An 18,466-nucleotide genomic window follows, 5' to 3' on the forward strand; every position below is an offset into this window, starting at 1 on the left:
AAACCCCCATTCAACACTGTACTGGAGGTCCTAACTAGTGAAATAAGGTAAGAAAAAGAAATAAAAGATGTATATGTAAGAAAAATAAATAAATTTAAAACCCAGGCTTCTGGAAGCAAAATTAAGCTTCATTAAGCAAAGAAATGGGAAAGGCCTACCTATAAGTAGGTGATCAGGAGTATCAGCCACAGGAGGTCAGTGTGGCCAGAGCATTGGTGTAAGAGGAGGTTATAGAGGTGGAACTGAGGGATGGCAGAGCTTGCTTTAGCTTCTTTGAATGCAGTCTTTCGAACTGGATAAATCCCTAAGGGCCTTATCCTTACCAGGAACCCCCTCCAGCATCCCCCGCTCTCCAGGACCCACCCCACCTCTGGGTGAGGAGCCATGGAAAGACTGCCCAGCTCAGGCAACAGACACCGACTTTAATACTAACTGATGACACTGGGTGTCACCTTTCCTTCCTTCAGTCTCAGTTTCATTATCCATAAAAATGATGCAATAACGTTTGTCCTGTTGGCCATTCAGGGAGGTTGTAAGAATCAAGTGAGAGCATATCTGCATGTCCCTTGATGTGCCATGATTATTATTATTGCTATAGTTGTCATTCATCTTACATGAAAAACAAAAGGATTTTAAGTTTTAAGTAGTCACATGCTCCAGCTCCCGGGAAGGCACATCTGTCATTTTGGAAAGCTGTGTGTTCTGAGGGAGTAAGGAGGGTACCCTTGGGCTCTTTGTTCCCCAGACCTTTTCTCAGCACCTCCTGTGCCCCCACCCCCACCCTACCAGCAGCCTTCTGTGCTTTGCATCACAGATGTCCTTGGAAACAAGCTCAGCTGATGTTCAATAAAATGTAGGCTAAAGCTGGCTGAGTTATTATCCTTTTTTCTTGATAAAAAGAGTGGATGTATTTTCATTACTGGCAGAGTGCTTTTAGCTAGTGTGGACAATTAAGCCCTGGAAATGCAGCAATCCATTTCACACTGAGAGAAGATTTGAGCAGGACTGTCACCAAAAATCCAGGAGGAGCTGAAATCATGGCCATGGTGCCCAACAATAAAAAGCCATAGATATTTGGAGGCAGCCCACAGGGATTTGCCCCTCCGTGGAATGTTGCTGTTGCTGGCTTGGAATGAGAGCTGCGTCCCCTGATGCTTCTCCACTGGCCTCAAGACCCTTCTTAGCCACCCTCTTCCTCATTCTCACCTCTCTTGGGCAGGCAGGCAGGGAGGAGCACCCTGTTATTGGCAGCAGCTCCTACCAAACTTTGCCTTTTAGGTTCAGGCACCCTTCTTGGTTTTCTTCATGATCTCCTGATCATCTCCTTCACCTCTGGAGACACATTCTGTCTCCAAAGAATTGGACCTCTAGACCAAGAGAATTGTCCATTCCAAAGCTACTAGATCAATGACGAAGTCCTCCTGTAGGGAATAACAACCCTCCTGCCTCCTCTATCCTTCCCTTCTTTCTTTCTCTTGTTCATTTACTTCTTTTTAAAATGGTGGCCCAGGCATGGTGGCTCACACCTGTTATCCCCGCACTTTGGGAGGACGAGGTGGGTGGATCACTTGAGGTCAGGAGTTCAAGACCAGCCAGGCCAACATGGTGAAACCCCATCTCTACTAAAAATACAAAAAGTTAGCCAGGCGTGGTGGCTAATCCCAGCTACTTGGGAGGCTGAGGCAGGTGAATCGCTTGAACCCAGGAGGCAAAAGTTGCAGTGAGCCAAGATCACGCCACTGCATTCCTGCCTGGGTGACAGAGCTTCTAAATAAATAAATAAATAAATAAATAAATAAATAAATAAATAATAAAATGGTGCATTAGCAGCTCTAATTTCCAGCTCCTAAAGGTAAAGGTGAGATGATCCCCCTTCAACCTCCCTGTCCAACCTAACCCAAGCTAGGGGAAGAGGTGGGTTTTTTTGTTTTGTTTTGTTTTGTTTTGTTGAGAGGGTCTTGCTCTGTCACCCAGTCTGGAGTGTAGTGGCACAATCTCAGCTCACTGCAACCTCTGTTTCCTGGGCTCAAGTGATCCTCCCACCTCAGTTGGCTGAGTAGCTGGGACCACAGGCATGTGCTGGCACACCCGGCTAATTTTTGTATTTTTGGTAGAGATGAAATTTCACCATGTTGCCCAGGCTGGTCGCGAACTCCTGGACTCAAGCTATCTATCCACCTTGGCCTCCCAAAAGGCTGGGATTACAGGCATGAGCCACTGTGCAGGGCAGGGGAAGAGTCTTAAGGGGCAGATTCTTGGGAGCAACACAATTTGCAGGTGCTGTGGCTTATCTGGCTACACATCTACTACACATCTCATCTGCCTCCCCCTGCTGTTTTTTTTTTTTTTTAAGACAGAGTCTTGCACAGTTGCTCAGGCTGGAATGCTATGGAGCAGTCTTGGCTCACTGCAGCCTCAACTTCCCGGGCTCAAGCCATCCTCCTACCTCAGCCCCCTGAGTACCTGGGACCACAGGTGCATGACACCATGCCCAGCTAATTTTTTTGTATTTTTTGTAGAGATAGGGTCTTGCCATATTGCCCAGGCTTGTCTCGAACTCCTGGGCTCAAGCAATGAGCCTGCCTCGGCCTCTCAGAGCGTTGGGATTACAGGCGTGAGCCACCATGCATGGCCTCTTCCTCCCCTTATTCTAAGAGCAACTGGGGGGCAGGGATAGTCCCCCACCTCCCCATCTCTGCATCTCCTGCAGCCAGTACAATGCCTAGGACAGAGTCAGTTCAGATGCTTGAGGAATGAAAGGAAGAATGAATGAATGAGTGAACAAAGCCATTTCTGTGTTAGTTCCTTTCTCACAGCTTTGTCTCTTTGTTCTGAAAAACACCCACAGCTCCTCCCATCATAATGTAGAAAGTATAAATTACTTCAGAGATGTAGGGACTGAGTGACGATCAGTGGAGTGATAGCAATCTGCTACATTATTACGATTTTTTATTTAAACCACTTAAGCTCTAGTCTCCCTCCTGTTTACTGTTAGAAATGATCCCAAATCAGTTGTGAATCTTCTCCTGCCTTGAGGGAGTAAGATGAGAAGACTGGGGTGGTTGTCCAGGCTTATTATCTTCTCCATTACTCAGGCATGTTCCCCTGAGCTTTCTCATGATTTTATTTTAATGCAGTTATTTGTATTAGGCGAGTCTCCAGCTCAGCCAGGACAAAGAGGGAGGTGGGGGAACCAGGGAGAAGCTGGTGGAAAAATAAATACCCTGAAGGTTCATGATGATCTGACCATGGCTTTAATATGAATCAAATTTGCTCCAACCTGCTTTCCCACAGTCAGCATTTCTGCTAGAAATAATTTGTAATTATCAAACTCCAATTAGGCCAGAAGACTCCTTGTAAAAGACTTTGATGTGATTAGGGAAAGGCTTGAAAATATAATTTGCATGATTCTAGCCCTCTCTGCCAATGACATTCCTGGAGAAGACATCTTGTCTCTCTTGGCAGGAGAAATTCCAAGGACAGGAGCTGGGGGCCAGACTTCAGGGTCACTGGGGCTGCTGCTCCAAGGCTGGCCCAAGAAGGTGCTTTCCTGGAATAATGAGCCTGAGAGATTCCTTATCTCAGCATTCAAGAGCTGAGAGTCAGTGAGTGGCCCAGAGAGGGACAGAGCTAGATGCATGCTGACCAGCAGCTGTGCCCAGCACTTTGATGAAGGCCCTTTGGTAACTGCCCAGCATCAGTATGGGTCACCCCCGGGGGATTCCTGGTCTTGCCCTTGGCTGAGAAATGATGACAACCTCTTTCATCCCTTCTCATATCTTAACCTTTCAGCTCTGTAGCAGCTGAGCCACGGCAGTGCAACAGTAATGCAAAGGTACTGAAAAATAACCAAAAAGGTCTAAAGAAATTAGCAAAAACCTAGATAAATGGAATGATATCCTGTGTTCATGGAGGACAATATTGTTAAGATGGCAATACTCCCAGAATCGATCTACAGATTCAACACAATTTCTATCAAAATCCCAGCTTCCAGCTGGGTGCGGTGGCTCACGTCTTATAAACCGGCACTTTGAGAGGCTGAGGTGAGTGGATCTCTTGACGTCAGGAGTTCGAGACCAGCCTGGCCAACATGGTGAAACTCTGTCTCTACTAAAAAATACAAAAATTAGCTGGGGGTGGTGGTGCACATCTGTAATCCCAGCTACTTGGGAGGCTGAGGCACAAGAATCACTTGAACCCAGGAGGCGGAGGTTGCAGTGAGCCGAGATCACACCACTGTACTCCAGCCTGGGCTACAGAGTGAGACTCCATCTCAAACAAACAAACAAACAAACAAGAAACAGCTTCCTTGCAATAAGGAAAAAGTCAAAAAGTCAAATAAATGGAAAATCAACAACTTTTATTTGATCCATCAGAGAGCTGAAGTCACAGAACAAAATGCCTCCCTGAAAATGAGACAGATGAATACGGATCAGTTTATCTGAAACAGAAGCTGTTTCAGCCAGGAGCCAGTGGGAATGAAGTGCTGAAACATGGAGGACGCTTAAAAACATCACAGTGAGTGAAGGAAACCAAACAAAAGATTACATAGTGCATGATTTTATCCATAGGAAACGTCCGGAATAGGCAAATCCATAAAGACAGTAGATTACTGGTTGTCAGAGCTGACGGGTGACTGGTAATGGGTACAGGGTTTCTTTCTGGGGTGATGAAAACGTTCTGGAATTAGATAGTGATGATGGTTGCACAATTTGTGAATACGTTAAAAACCACTGAATTGTACATTTTAAAATGGTGAATATTATGGCATGTGAATTATATCTCAATTAAGAAACAAACGTTAAGCAAAGATAATTTGGGATGGGAAGTCGAAATTTCCCTTCAAATTCAGTTTGCAGACCATTTTCAGGAACAGAAGGCTTTTCTACTGACTCATGAGTTAGTAGTAGTCAGAGCCCAGTCAGAGCCCAGCCTCTGACCACCCTGCTCCCCTGTGATTTGCTGACTTGAGAAGAGGAAGTCTGGGAAATGGAACAGAGAGAGCCAGGAGTAGCCTGAAGAAAAGGAGCCAGGACTGGGAAATGCTTGAAACAGACTTCAGAGCTTTGTGATGCTGGCTGAGGGCTCTGCAGGAGGCCTTACTGCTACAGCATGCCGCCACCTCCTCCATGAAGTCTCCCTGCCTCTTTCTTCCCATAAGGCACTTTATCTGGCATACATCGTTTTCACCCAAAGACCTCACACTGGATCCTTTACTGCCTTGTTGCCTTGCAGGTTCTCTGACTGTTCCACAGAGAGCTATTCTACTTGGAGATATGTGTCCCCTCCACAATGACATCACAACCTCTTCCAGGATGGGATGCCTGTCTTGGACTCACAGACCCCCTTAATGCAGGAAAAAACTTTAGGCATCACCTGGCCCCCTCTTCCAAATTTAAATGTAGCCCAACTATGAGACACTTGGGTTGACTCGAGTCTCCCAGCCTCCTGGGGTCATCCTTCCCTCTGTGTTAAGCTAGATGGACACGCACTGCCCCCTATCCCCATGTACAATGGAAAACTCATGTCCTGAATCCTGTGCCTTTGAGGGTTTCTGAGGGGCGGAAGTGTGTGATTTTGTTGTTGTTTTTAAGAGGTGTGGGTCTCACTATGTAGCCCAGGCTGGAGTGCAACGAGTATTTATAGGCATGATCATGGCACACCATATCCTGGAACTTCTGGGCTCAAGCAATCTTCCTGCCTCAGCCTCCTGAGTAGCTGAGACTACAGGCACGTGCCTCTGGGCCCTGCTAGAAGTGTGTAATGTGTAAGGAAATGGCTTTGGAACCTGGGTTCACATCCTAGCTCTGCCATTTACCTTGGACAAGTTATTTAACTTATTTGTGTCTCTGTTTCCTTATCTATAAAACGGGGATAATAATACTTCCTCCTTTTGTTGTTGTTGTTGTCGTTTGTTTGTTTTTGAGATGGAGTCTAGCTTTGTTGCCCAGGCTGGAGTGCAGTGGCACGATCTTGGCTCACCACAACCTCCGCCTCCCAGGTTCAAGCAATTCTCCTGCCTCAGCCTCCCAAGTAGCTGGGACTACAGGCACGCGCCACCATGCCTGGTTAATTTTTATATTTTTAGTAGAGATGGGGTTTCAGTATGTTGGTCAGGCTGGCCTTGAACTCCTGGCCTCGTGATCTGCCTGCCTTGGCCTCCCAAAGTGCTAAGATTACAGGTGTGAGCCACCATGCCCAGCCTACTTCCTCCTTTGTAAGATTGGTATGAGGATTAAATGAATTACCAGTAATATAGGAACATAAAGCATTTAGAACTGTATTTGCCATCCCATAAGTTCTATAAAAATATTTGACCTTATTTCTTGTTTCTGCTGAATTCTTGACCTACCGTGTGTCTTGCCCCTTTCTCCTCTCCTGCTGCCTCCATCTGCCCCCTCCGAAGCATCCCTCATTCAAGGCCACGTGTGGCAGACTTTTGCTAAAAGCTTTGAGGGGAACAGAAGGGGCCACACAACACAGCTCAGCCAGCAACTTAAAATTGTCTTGGACCTTGCTGTTCCTGAAAGTGCCCTAGTCGTTCCTACCACAAGGCATCTCTCAGACACTGCCCATCTTCTCTTCTCTAATGCCAGCTTGCTGCCTTGCTGCACTCGCTCACTTTCCTCCTTCTCATACCTCCTCTCTCTTTCCCCCAGCCCCTCACCCTGCAAACTCTGCTTTCTCTCCGAACAAGCCTGAACAAGCCTCGTTGTAGCCCATCTAAGTCCTGCGTCAGGGGAAATGGGGAATGGGGAGTGGCAGGGAGATCGACCTTTAGCATCCAAAGAGGCCTTGCAGGTAATTTCTAGTAAAGATGCTTCTCTCACTATCAGGACTCAAGGAGATAGGAGAGGCCCAGGGATGGGAAGAGACACTCCTACCATTCCCAGACAGAGAGAAGTTTCCATCTCCCCACGAAAAGCACTGCACAGCCTGCTGGGTGCAGTGGGTCACACCTGTGATCCCAGCACTTTAGGAGGCCAAGGCGGGGAGATCACCTGAGAGCAAGAGTTCTTGACCAGCCTGGGCAACAGTGAGACCTTGTCTCTAAAATATATATAACTATGTACATATAAAACAAATAAAAGCACTGCACCCCCCAAAAAAGCAACACAAAGCCCACGCTGGACAAAGGACCGGCCAGAAAGCTGCCTAAGTAAACCAGCCTCCTCCTGCCGCTCACCCTGCATTATCTGTTACTAGGCCCAGACGACTGGGGAGTTATTGTTTCGGGGGAGGGTCAGAGGTGATATTTTAGCCCATTAAGGCCGCTGCTTTCCAAGGCCTGATTTTCCTCAGGCACCGCATCAAACTTGTTCTCTAGCTGCCAAAGAAGGCAGGATTTCAGCTGAAGGTAATTTATGTTAATTTTTCCCCTTTCTGGTCCGTTAAGTTTTGTGATGTTAATATATCTTTTTGGGGGCCTCTTCGCAGGGTGCTGCTGGGTGGGCTGGGGGTGGGGGCCACCTGCTGGCATGACATCTGGGACCCTGTGTCTCCCTTCCTCTGCTGCCCGGGGACTCTCCATTGCTGAGGGCCTTGTTGGGAGGCTGCTTTGGGAGGGCAAAGACCTTTGTATTTTTCAGAGTTCTTTCCTTACCACCCCTGTTCCAAGCTCAGTTTTTCAGGGATGTACTGAAAGAAGCCTAAGGTGCAGTGCAGTCAACTGAGCAACAAATATTTTGGGAGCGTCAAGTAAGTGCCAAGCTACTGTCTTGGGAAGTTTTGGGGATTCAAAACTGAATAAAACATAGTCCCTGTCCTTTTTTCTTTTTCTTTGTCTTTTTTGAGACAGAGTCTCACTCTGTCACCCAGGCTGGAGTGCAGTGGCATGATGCCGGCTCATTGCAGCCTCAACCTCCTGGGCTCAAGCGATCCTCCCACCTCAGCTTCCAGAGTACCTGGGACCACAGGCATGCACCATCATGTCAGACTAATTTTTTAATTTTTTTATAGAGATGTGGTCTCCTTATGTTCCCCATATGGTCTCAAACTTCTGAGCCCAAGCAATCCTCCCACCTCAGCCTCCCAAAGTGCTGGGAATACAGGTGTGAGCCAGTTTGCCTGGCCAGTCCCTGTCCTTAAGGTGCTTTCCATCTAGTTGGGATTTGGGAGAGAGGTTAGGTGTACCCAAGTGTAGTCAATTATGTTATAAGGTGACATGTGTGCACCTAGAATATCACCAAGCTATGCAAAATCCCTCAGGGCTTATGGGAAGAAATGGGGCACAACACTGAAAACTTCATCAGTGACACATTGAAAACTAGCTGGGCACGGTGGCTCACGCCTGTAATCCCAGAACTTTGGGAGGCCAAGGTGGGCAGATCACCTGAGGTCAGGAGTTCGAGACCAGCCTTGCCAACATGGAGAAACCCCGTCTCTACTAAAAATACAAAAAAAATTAGCCAGGTGTGGTGGTGGGCGCCTGTAATCCCAGCTACTTGGGAGGCTGAGGTAGGAGAATCACTTGAACCCAGGAGGTGGAGGTTGCAGTGAGCCAAGATAGCTCCATTGCACTCCAACCTGGGCAAGAGAGTGAGACTCTGTCTCAAAACAACAACAAAAAAAAACAAATAACAACAACAACAAAAATAATAGCAGAGCTTTACAGATGTTAAGTCATTAAGAAAAACATAAAGGCCAGGCACAGTGGCTCACACCTGTAATCCCAGCACTTTGGGAGGCCAAGGAGGGTGGATCACTTGAGGTCAGGAGTTCAAGACCAGCCTGGCCAACATGGCAAAACCCTATCTCTACTAAAAACACAAAAATTAGCTGGGTGTGGTGGCGCATACCTGTAATCCCAGTTACTCAGGAGGCTGAGGCAGGAGAATTGCTTGAACCCAAGAGGCGGAGGTTGCCGTGAGCCGAGATTGCGCCACCGCACTCCAGCCTGGGCGACAGAGCAAGACTCTGTCTCAGAAAAAAAAAAAAAAAAGAAAAGAAAAACATAAATACTATAGTAAATATGGCACTTTCCCTTGAAAAAGACCTGAAGTTTGCTTGTGGAAGTAGGTATCAGAACAGTTGCAGCTTGCGAGTTATTGTGAAGCAGTGGAAGGAGAGTTATCTGAAATGTAGTGGGAAGTTAACACCACATGCAGATGTGTTATGCATGCTGTTTGTCCAGGTTTTATGTATTCCTCTGTGGGCTGGTTCAGCTGGGTGTGGTTTTCTGCACTTACCAGAAACAAACATGAAATTTGCATTTTTCTTTGGGAGGCCGAGGCGAGTGGATCACTTGAGGTCAGGAGTTCGAAACCCGTCTGGCCAACATGGTGAAACCAAGTCTCTACTAAAAATACAAAAATTAGCCCGGCATGGTGGCGCATGCCTGTAATCCCAGCTACTCAAGAGACTGAGACACGAAAATCGCTTGAACCCGGGAGGTGAAGGTTGCCGTGAGCTGAGGGATCACGCCACTGTACTCTAGCCTGGGAAACCGAGAGAGACTGTCTCAAAAAAAAAAAAAAAATTGCATTTTTGCTCAAATTGCTCCCTAATATATCAATCGCTTTGGAACAAATTCACATTTTCAAAACAAGCCTTACAGAAGCATAAGACACAGTGTATATACCAAATTCTATAATATAGACTTACAACAGGATAATTTATTAAGGAGACTCAAGGAGGTAGGAGAGGCCCAGTGAGGGGCAGAGACACCCCTATGGTTGCCAGACACTTGTTCCCTCTTCATTTTTTTCATCTTCTCCATTCCAAGAAGGTAGCTAAGTCTTATGTAATTATTTGCCTCAGAGGCATCTGCAGAGCCATTCATTTAATCAATCAATAACCATTCACTGAGTCCCTCCTGTGTGCCAAGTGGTGTTCTGGGCACAAGAAGATAGTGCAATGAACAAAACCACAAAGACTCTGTCTTCACGGAGCAAGGGTTGTAGTGGGAGAGACAGAAAATAAACAAATGAATATATTATGCAATGTTAGGCAGTGAGAAGTACTACTGAAAAATAAAGAGCAGGCCGGGTACAGGGGCTCACGCCTATAATCCTAGCACTCTGGGAGGCCAAGATGGGAAGATCACTTGAGCCCATGCATTGGAGACCAGCCTGGGCAATATAGCGAAACCCTGTCTCTACAAAAAATACAAAAAGTTAGCTGGGTGTGGTGGAGTGTGCCTGTATTCCCAAGCTACTTGGGAGGCTGAGGTGAAAGGATTGCTATATGGAGAGAGACAGAGAGAGACAAAGAGACAGAGACAGAGAGAGAGAGAAAGAACAGACAACGTAACTAGAGAGTGACTAGGAGTGGAGGGAGAGGATGTGACTCCTTTTCAGGGAGGGGAGATTTGAGCAGAGATCTAAATGAAGTGAGAGAGTGGGTCACGTGATTATTTAAGGAAAGAGTGTTCACAGCAAAGAGAACAGCAAGTGCAAAGGCCCTGAAGAAGAAGCAAGCTCGGTGTATTCAAGAGATGTCGGCTGGGCGCAGTGGCTCAAGCCTGTAAATCTCAGCACTATGGGATGCCAAGGCAGGTGGATCACGTGAGGTCAGGAGTTCGAGACTAGCCTGGCCGACATGGCAAAACCCCATCTCTACTAAAAATGCAAAAATTAGCCAGGCATGGTTGCACATACCTGTAGTCCCAGCTACTCGGGAGGCTAAGGCACGAGAATTGCTTGAACCTGGGAGGTGGAGGTTGTAGTGAGCCAAGATCACACCACTGCACTCCAGCCTGAGGAACAGAGAGTGATTCTGTCTCAAAAAAAAAAAAAAAAAAAGGGATGTCAAGGAAGCCGGTGTCTGTGTCTGGAAGTGAGTGAGAGGCAGAGAGAGCGATAGGAAATGAGATTGGAGGCATAGCAGGGGGCCTGGTTACATAATGTCTGTAGATTATGGTCAGGTCTGAATTTTTTTCTAAGTGTAATGGGAGGTCATTGGAGCATTTTGAGTAGGTGAGAGACATGATCTGACTGAAATATTAAAGGGCTCACTCTGGATCAGTTCCATCCAATAGAACTCTGGCAATGATGAAAATGCCCGGTGTCTACTCTGCCCAGTACGGTAGCCACTGGCCATGTGTGGCTATCTTTATTATTTTGAGAGATGGGTTCTTGCTGTGTTGCCCAGGTTGGCCTCAAACTCCTGAGCTCAAGCAATTCTCCAGCATTAGCCCCCCTAGTAGCTGGGACTAAAGGCATGAGCCACCACACCTTGCTGAATATTTGGCTATTGAGCACTTGAAATGGTGCAAGTATGACTTTGGAAATGAAATTTTAATTAACATAAATTTATTTTTTATATTAAATAAACAATTTATTTTTATTTAATAATAAATTATTTATGAAATAATAAATTATTTAATTTATTTATATTAATTATAGCTAGCCAGTGCTGTTCTAGATGTTGTGCAGAAAATAGACTGAAAGGGAGAAAGAATGGAAGCAGGGGCACTTGTCCTTCAAGTTGCCTGCTTGGGTATCTTCCAAGTGTTTTTTGTTTTTTTGTTTGTTTGTTTTGTTTTTGTTTTGAGTCAGAGTCTCACTCTGTCACCCAGGCTGGAGCGCGATGGCGTGGTCTCAGCTCACTGCAACTTTCAACTCCCAGGTTCAAGCAATTCTCCTGCCTCAGCCTCCCAAGTAGCTGGGATTATAGGCGCATGCCACCACGCCTGGCTAACTTTTTTTTTTTTTTTTGAAACAGAGTCTTGCTCTGTCGCCTAGGCTGGAGTGCAGTGGCACCATCTCAGCTCGCTGCAAGCTCCGCCTCCCGGGTTCACGCCATTCTCCTGCCCCAGCCTCCCAGGTAGCTGGGACTACAGGCGCCCGCCACCACGCCCAGCTAATTTTTTTTTTTTGTATTTTTAGTAGAGACAGGGTTTTGCCGTGTTAGCCAGGCTAGTCTCGATCTCCTGACCTCGTGATCCGCCCGCCTCGGCCTCCCAAAGTGCTGGGATTACAGGTGTGAGCCACTGAGCCTGGCCAATTTTTGTATTTTCAGTAGAGACGGGGTTTCACCATGTTGGCCAGGCTGGTCTCGAACTCCTGACTTTGTAATCCGCCCGCCTTGGCCTTCCCAAAGTGCTGGGATTATAGGTGTGAGCCACCACACCCGGCCGTATCTTCCAAGTGTTCTAAAAAAAAAAAAAAAAAAAAAAAAAAAAAAAAAAAAGAGTGAAAGCAGGAAGACTAGTTAGGAGTACAAGAATCCAAATAACAGACAATGGGGACTTTGAGATGATAGCACTGGAGATGGTGAGAAATGATTAGATTCTGGATATATTTTAAAGGTTAGAGGCAACAGGCTAATGGACGGAATTTTTTTTCTTTTTTCTGTTTTCGAGACAGGGTCTTGCTCTGTTACCCAGGCTGGAATGCAGTGGCATGATCACGGCTCACTATAGCCTCAGTTTCCTGGGCTCAAGTGATCCTCCCACCTCAGCTTCCCGAGTAACTGGGATTACAGGCATGCACCATCATGCCCAGGTAGTTTTTTAATTTTTTGAAGAGATGGGGGGGGGGGGTCTCTCTATGTTGCCCAGGCTGGTCTTGAACTCCTGGGCTCAAGTGATCCATTCTCCTCGGCCTCCCAAAGTGCTGAGATTACAGATGTAAGCCACCGCACACAGCTGGATTGAATATTATTATAGTGTATAAGAGAGAGAAAGGAATTGAAAATGATGAAGTTTTTGGCTTGCAACTAAGTGAGTGGTGGTTTCATTTCTTGTAATGAGCGATAATGGAGAATGAGCTGAAAGCTTCCATTTTGCATTGCTCCCCCTACCCCCAGTCCCAAGCTCACTGATGAGACTGTACCAGAGTCCTAGAGAGGGCAGGGAGAGAGGAGGGTGCCCTGGAGGGCAGCCAGATTGAGAAGAGATCTGAAGTCAGGGGTCTTTTGAGCTGGGCAAAACTGAATCCCTTGACAGTGTCCCTCAGCAAAGGCAAAGAGAGGCTGGACTCCCACAAACCCGCTGCTTCAAGTTTAGCTCCAAAACAGCAGAGCTTCCTGATCTGATTCTCCAGACTCAGCCTCCCAAGTAGCTGGGATTACAGGCACCCACCATCATGCCTGGTTAATTTTTGTATTTTTGTAGAGATGGAGTTTCACCACATTGGCCAGGCTGGTCTTGAACTCCTGACCTCAGGTGATCCGCCCACCTCGGCTTCCCAAAGTGTTGGAATTCCAGGAGTGAGCCACTGCGCCCGGCTGAGAATAGGTATTTGGAGTCATCTTTAAGAGAATTCAAAGAAAAAGAAGTGTAGGTACTTGAAAAGGATTGTGGATGGGATGATGTTTAGACTTGATGATGAGGGGTTGATGATTCGGGGGCAGAATTAGTGGGTGCTTCTATGGCATAGACTGTAGATTCTGTGTCCAGTGAAGTTCAGAGCTTTTTCTGGGACCTTCTCAAGGGGTATGACAAATTTCTTACATTCAGGTTATTCTATAAACATGTTAGAAATAATCTTTAACTTTCTGTGTGGGTGTCACACACTGGAGGATGTCTATGTCAAGGCAAAGATAATAAATACCTCTCTCTAGCAGTAGGTAAAATAGAGAATGTGGGAAATCTGGGTTTGAATCCCAGATCCTTCCCATACTACCTGTGTGATTTGGGACAATCACCTCAGTTAATTAATTACTTCTTTCTGAGCCTCAATTTACTCATTCACAAAATGGGAGCTCACAGGTTTTCAATGAGAACTAAATAATATATTAAAATATCATCGGCAGCGCCTGACATATAGTAAGAGCTCAGTAAATGCTAATTTGCTTCCCTATGGAATTGAACAAAGCTGCTCCTAGTGGCTTTGGTCCAGAACCTTCTTCGATATGCTGCCCAATGTCTCCTCTGGTTTTGACCTGGATTCTCCACTGTTTGCTCAGATTCCTTCATGGCTTTTTCTCCCTTGCATTAATTCTAAGCACCTGCTTGTTATTAAAGTAAAATCCTCTCTTTGCCTAGTCCCTGTGATCTGAAAAAGCATCTGTAAATAGAAGGTATGCCCCCTATGACACAGCACTATTGGCATTTTGCTCTTTTTTTTTTTTTTTTTTTTGTGACGGAGTTTCACTCTTGTTGCCCAGGCTGGAGTACAATGGCGCAATCTCAGCTCACCGCAGCCTCCACCTCCCAGGTTCCAGCGATTTTCCTGCCTCAGTTTACCAAGTAGCTGGGAATACAGGTGCCCACCACCACGTCTGGCTAATTTTTTGTATTTTTTTTAGTAGAGACAGGGTTTCCCCACGTTGGGCAGCCTGGTCTCAAACTCCTGACCTCAGGTGATCCGCCAGCCTCAGCCTCCCAAGGTGCTGGGATTACAGGCGTGAGCTACCACCCCCTGCCTGGCATTTTGCTCTTCAAGGGTTAATAATGGTCAGGGCTGTACCTTTAGAAAACTCAGCCAGCAGGGCTCACCAGAAATAATTGCAATAGCAGGGACGCAGGGAGGTGGGGCTGAGAGGATGTGGGGTGGGTATTGAAGAAGGCCTGCAGAGCAGGACAGTGAGCCTCTGTAGGGAGAATGGTATATTCCAGGGGGAAAAAATGACGGGCCATTGGAAACCCCTGGCCATGAGAGGTAGCAGCGGTTTGGCTTCAACCTGGCCCCTTTCCAAGACCACATTCTTATTGCTGATCCCTTGCTGGTCAGCAAGAGCCCCTGAGAGGACTTGCTGTGATAATTTGGTGCCAGATCATGCTTCAGTTGCAATTTATTTAAAGTTGACAATAGGGTTCCTGTCTTTTACAAGCAGATTCCCTGCCCTTGAATGTCTGCAGGCTGGATTTTTTGCCTTGATGAAAAGGTAGTTAAATTTCACACTTATTATAGCACCTGGCACCTGACATCTTCCAGAGACTTTATAAAGACTAATGAAATGAAACCCTCAGCGCTATTGTAAACAGGGAAGAAGAGAGAGCAGACTCATATCCTCTCTCTGCAGGAAACAAAGAACTAAACCTGCCTCATCTCCACCCCACCAGTGGACCCATTTTTTTTAGGCTAATCTTCAAAGGGCTACTGACTGGTTATCAGACAGGTCATGGCTCAGAGCATCTTTGGAGAGCAGGATCTGCCTGAAAAATGGGTCAATAAGGCACCAGCATACAGGTCTGCGCTGCTGGAGATGAGGCCTCCAGACCCAGAGATTCTGTTCCAGCTTTTTTCACTCAGCATCAGACATCAACCAGTCAGGGAAGCTGGACCGATCTTTGCCAATGTCCCCAGGAATTGAAGTGTGTGAGCGTGTCTGCCCTGTGATGAGAAGGTGAGTGCAGAATTTGGGGTATGGTTTAAATGAGGAAAAGTACAACAGTATGATTCCCTCCCCCAACCCAGTTAGTCCCTTCACCCCATCCTTTATTGTGTCTGTAGTGGGAAAGATGGAGTTTACAGTCAAACAGACCTGCGTGCAAATTGTCCTGTCACTTGCCTTAAAACTTAATTTCTCCAAGTCTCAGTTTCCACATCTGTACAATGGGAATAATAATACTGCTATGATTACCTATGGTTGTGCAACAATCTCAAACTTAGTGGCATTAGGGGAAAAAAAAAAATGGGCTGGGTGCAGTGGCTCACGCCCATAATCTCCACACCTTGGGAGGCCAAGGCGGGAGGATTGCTTGAGGCCAGGAGTTCAAGACCAGCCTGGGCAATATGGGGAGACCCTGTCTCTACAAAAAATAAAAAAATTTAAAAAATTTATCGTGCTCACAGATTCTATGGGTCAGTAATTTGGACGCGGTACAATGGCAATTCCTGAAGCCCCTGGTTCATGATGTCTGGGGCTTTAGCTGGCATACCTGAGAGGGTGGGTGTCTTTAATGGCTGGAATTAACTGGAGGCTTTTTCATTTGCATGTCTGGTGCTTGGGCTAGGATGACTTGAAACTGGGCTCAACTGGGACTGCCAACCAAAGCATTTCTATATGGCCTCTGCACACAGCTGGGGCTTCCTCAAAGCATGGTAACCTTTGGGACTTCTTACATGGTGACTTCAGGTTCCAAGAGTGAGTGTCACAGCCAACAAGGCAGGAACTTCATGGCCTTTTATACCCTGGCCTTGGGAGTCACATGTCATCATTTCCACCATCCTCTATAGGCAAAGATGTCACCAACCTGTACAGATTCAAGGAAAGAGGACATAGAATTGGCCCCCACTTCTTGATGAGAGAAGGGTCAAAAAATTTGAAGCCATGTTTTATTTTTATGTATTTATTTATTTTTGAGACAGCTCTGTCACCAAGGCTGGAGTGTAGTGGCGTGATCTCGGCTCACTGCAACCTCCGCCTCCTGGGTTCAAGTGATTCTCCTGCTTCAACCTCCTGAGTAGCTGGGATTACAGGTGCCTACCACCATGCCCAGCTAATTTTTCGTATTTTTAGTAGAGATGGGGTTTCACCATGTTGGCCAGGCTGGTCTCGAACTCCTGACATCAAGTGATCTGCCCACCTTGGACTCCCAAAGTGCTGGGATTACAGGCGTGAGCCACCATGCCTGGCCTGAAGCCATATTTTAAAACTACCACCAGGCCAGGAGCATTTGGCTCCTATATTATAATGCCTATAATCTCAGCACTTTGGGAGGCTGAGGTGGGCAGACTGCTTGAGCCTGGGAGTTTAAGACCAGGCTGGGCAACATGGCAAAACCCCATCTCTACAAAAAAAAAACAAGAAGTTAGCCAATCGTGACAGCTCGCACCTGTGGTCCCAGCTATTTGGGAGGCTGAAATGGGAGGATCATTTAAGCCCAGGAGGCCAAAGCTGCAGTGATCCATGATTGTGCCATTGCACTCCAGCCTGGGCAACAGACTGAGATCCTGTCTCAAAAAAACAAAAAATAAAAAAAAGGCTGAGTGTGGTTGTGGCGGCTCATGCCTGCAATCCCCTGTAATCCCAGCACTTTGGTAGGCTGAGGCAGGGGAATCACTTGAGGCCAGGAGTTCAAGACCAGCCTGGGCAACAAAGTGGGACTCCATCTCTACAAAAAAAAAAAAAAAAAAAGATAAAACTGTCCTCAATTCCTTCTTCCTTCACTTGGTTCTTGTGAAGAATAAGAGAAATAATAATCTTATACATAAAAGCGTTTCAGTAAATATTATTCTGAATCCTCCCAACTCCTTCAGGCCTTTCAGATCAATTTGTACTCACTCCAAAGGAGCAGAACACAATCAATGATGCCCAAAATAACTAAAACTGGTTCTCGCTTTTCTGCCTTATCTTCTACCCTGAATTATCATAAAGTCTGGAGAAATGATCCCCTCAATGCCAAATCTTAGGGTGGTGACTTGGGGTACGTAGGTGGTTTAATATCCCTTGAGAATTTTCAGAGCTGCTTCTCAGGACAGAAAATTAAAATGAAAAGGGGAAGCCAAACTCTAGAGCTTGAACCCCCTGCTGAGAGACTCCAGTCCTATGATTTGGTTCTAAGCATGCCAAGTCCTGTGCTACAGCACAAAGATGGCTCTGCACTGAGTGTGTATCTCATCCTGACCTCTGAGGACGCCACCCTGGGAAGTGTTTGTGAAGCTCCAATGGAAAAAGCAGTCCAATGAGGCAGAGCGACTGAATCAGAGCAGGGCAAGAAAGCTGCCAAGCTTGGACCCCACTCAGAGAACACAAATTCCAGGTTTAAAATCAAACTCCAACAGTTTTTGGGGTCTAAGTTGCATTTATTCTTGGCAAGCTCACTTCTTTTGTTCACAGAGAGAGTAGAAGCTTTAAGGGGCTCCAAGAAAGACCTCTCACATCGAATCACTCTCACAAAGCCACAGGGAATTGGGGAGTGTAAATGAATCAGGAAATTATGGCTTCTTTTTTCCTTTGAATTGTATAAGGGAACATAAATTAAGGAGAAAAACTGCCAAGAGAAAGAAAAAGTATGCAGTGTTTCAGCCAACTTCGAGCTTTGAAAGCAGCTTCAGAACCATGCTGTAACACTTTCTGTTGGGCCTACCAAGAAATGCTGGTGAGCAGGTGAACAAAGAGATCTGTAGGAGGCAAGCAGCAAGGCCCTGCCTATTGAGGGGAAGGGCATATGGTAAAGGCAGTGTATTAGTTGTCTATTGCTATGTAACATAGTACCCCAAAATGAAGAAACTTAAAACAGTACACTTTTTTTTTTTTTTTGAGACAGAGTCTCATTCTATTGGCAGACTGGAGTACAGTGGCACGATCTCAGCTCACTGCAATCTCCGCCTCCCAGATTCAATCAATTCTCCTGCCTCAGCCTCCCGAGTAGCTGGGACTACAGTTGCATGCCACCACACCCAGCTAATTTTCGTATTTTTAGTAGAGACGGGGTTTCACCATGTTGGCCAGGATGTCTCGATCTCTTGACCTCGTGATCCACCCGCCTCGGCCTCCCAAAGTGCTGGGATTACAGGCGTGAGCCACCGCGCCTGGCCAAAACAGTACACATTTATTATCTCACACAGTTTCTGAGGGCCAGAAATTGAGGAGCAGGGCCGGGTATGGTGGCTCACCCCTGTAGTCCCAGCGC

General features: G+C 46.4%; 1 annotated feature.

The window, feature by feature from the left end:
- Positions 220-514: a silencer, noted in NCBI's record as "tiled region #9755; K562 Repressive non-DNase unmatched - State 8:EnhW". NCBI's record gives its function as "represses a minimal TATA promoter and a strong SV40 promoter by Sharpr-MPRA in K562 cells {active_cell/tissue: K562}" and the evidence as "EXISTENCE:reporter gene assay evidence [ECO:0000049][PMID:27701403]".

The sequence above is a fragment of the Homo sapiens genome, chromosome 5 (assembly GCF_000001405.40).
Source record: "Homo sapiens chromosome 5, GRCh38.p14 Primary Assembly".
Taxonomy (NCBI): domain Eukaryota; kingdom Metazoa; phylum Chordata; class Mammalia; order Primates; family Hominidae; genus Homo; species Homo sapiens.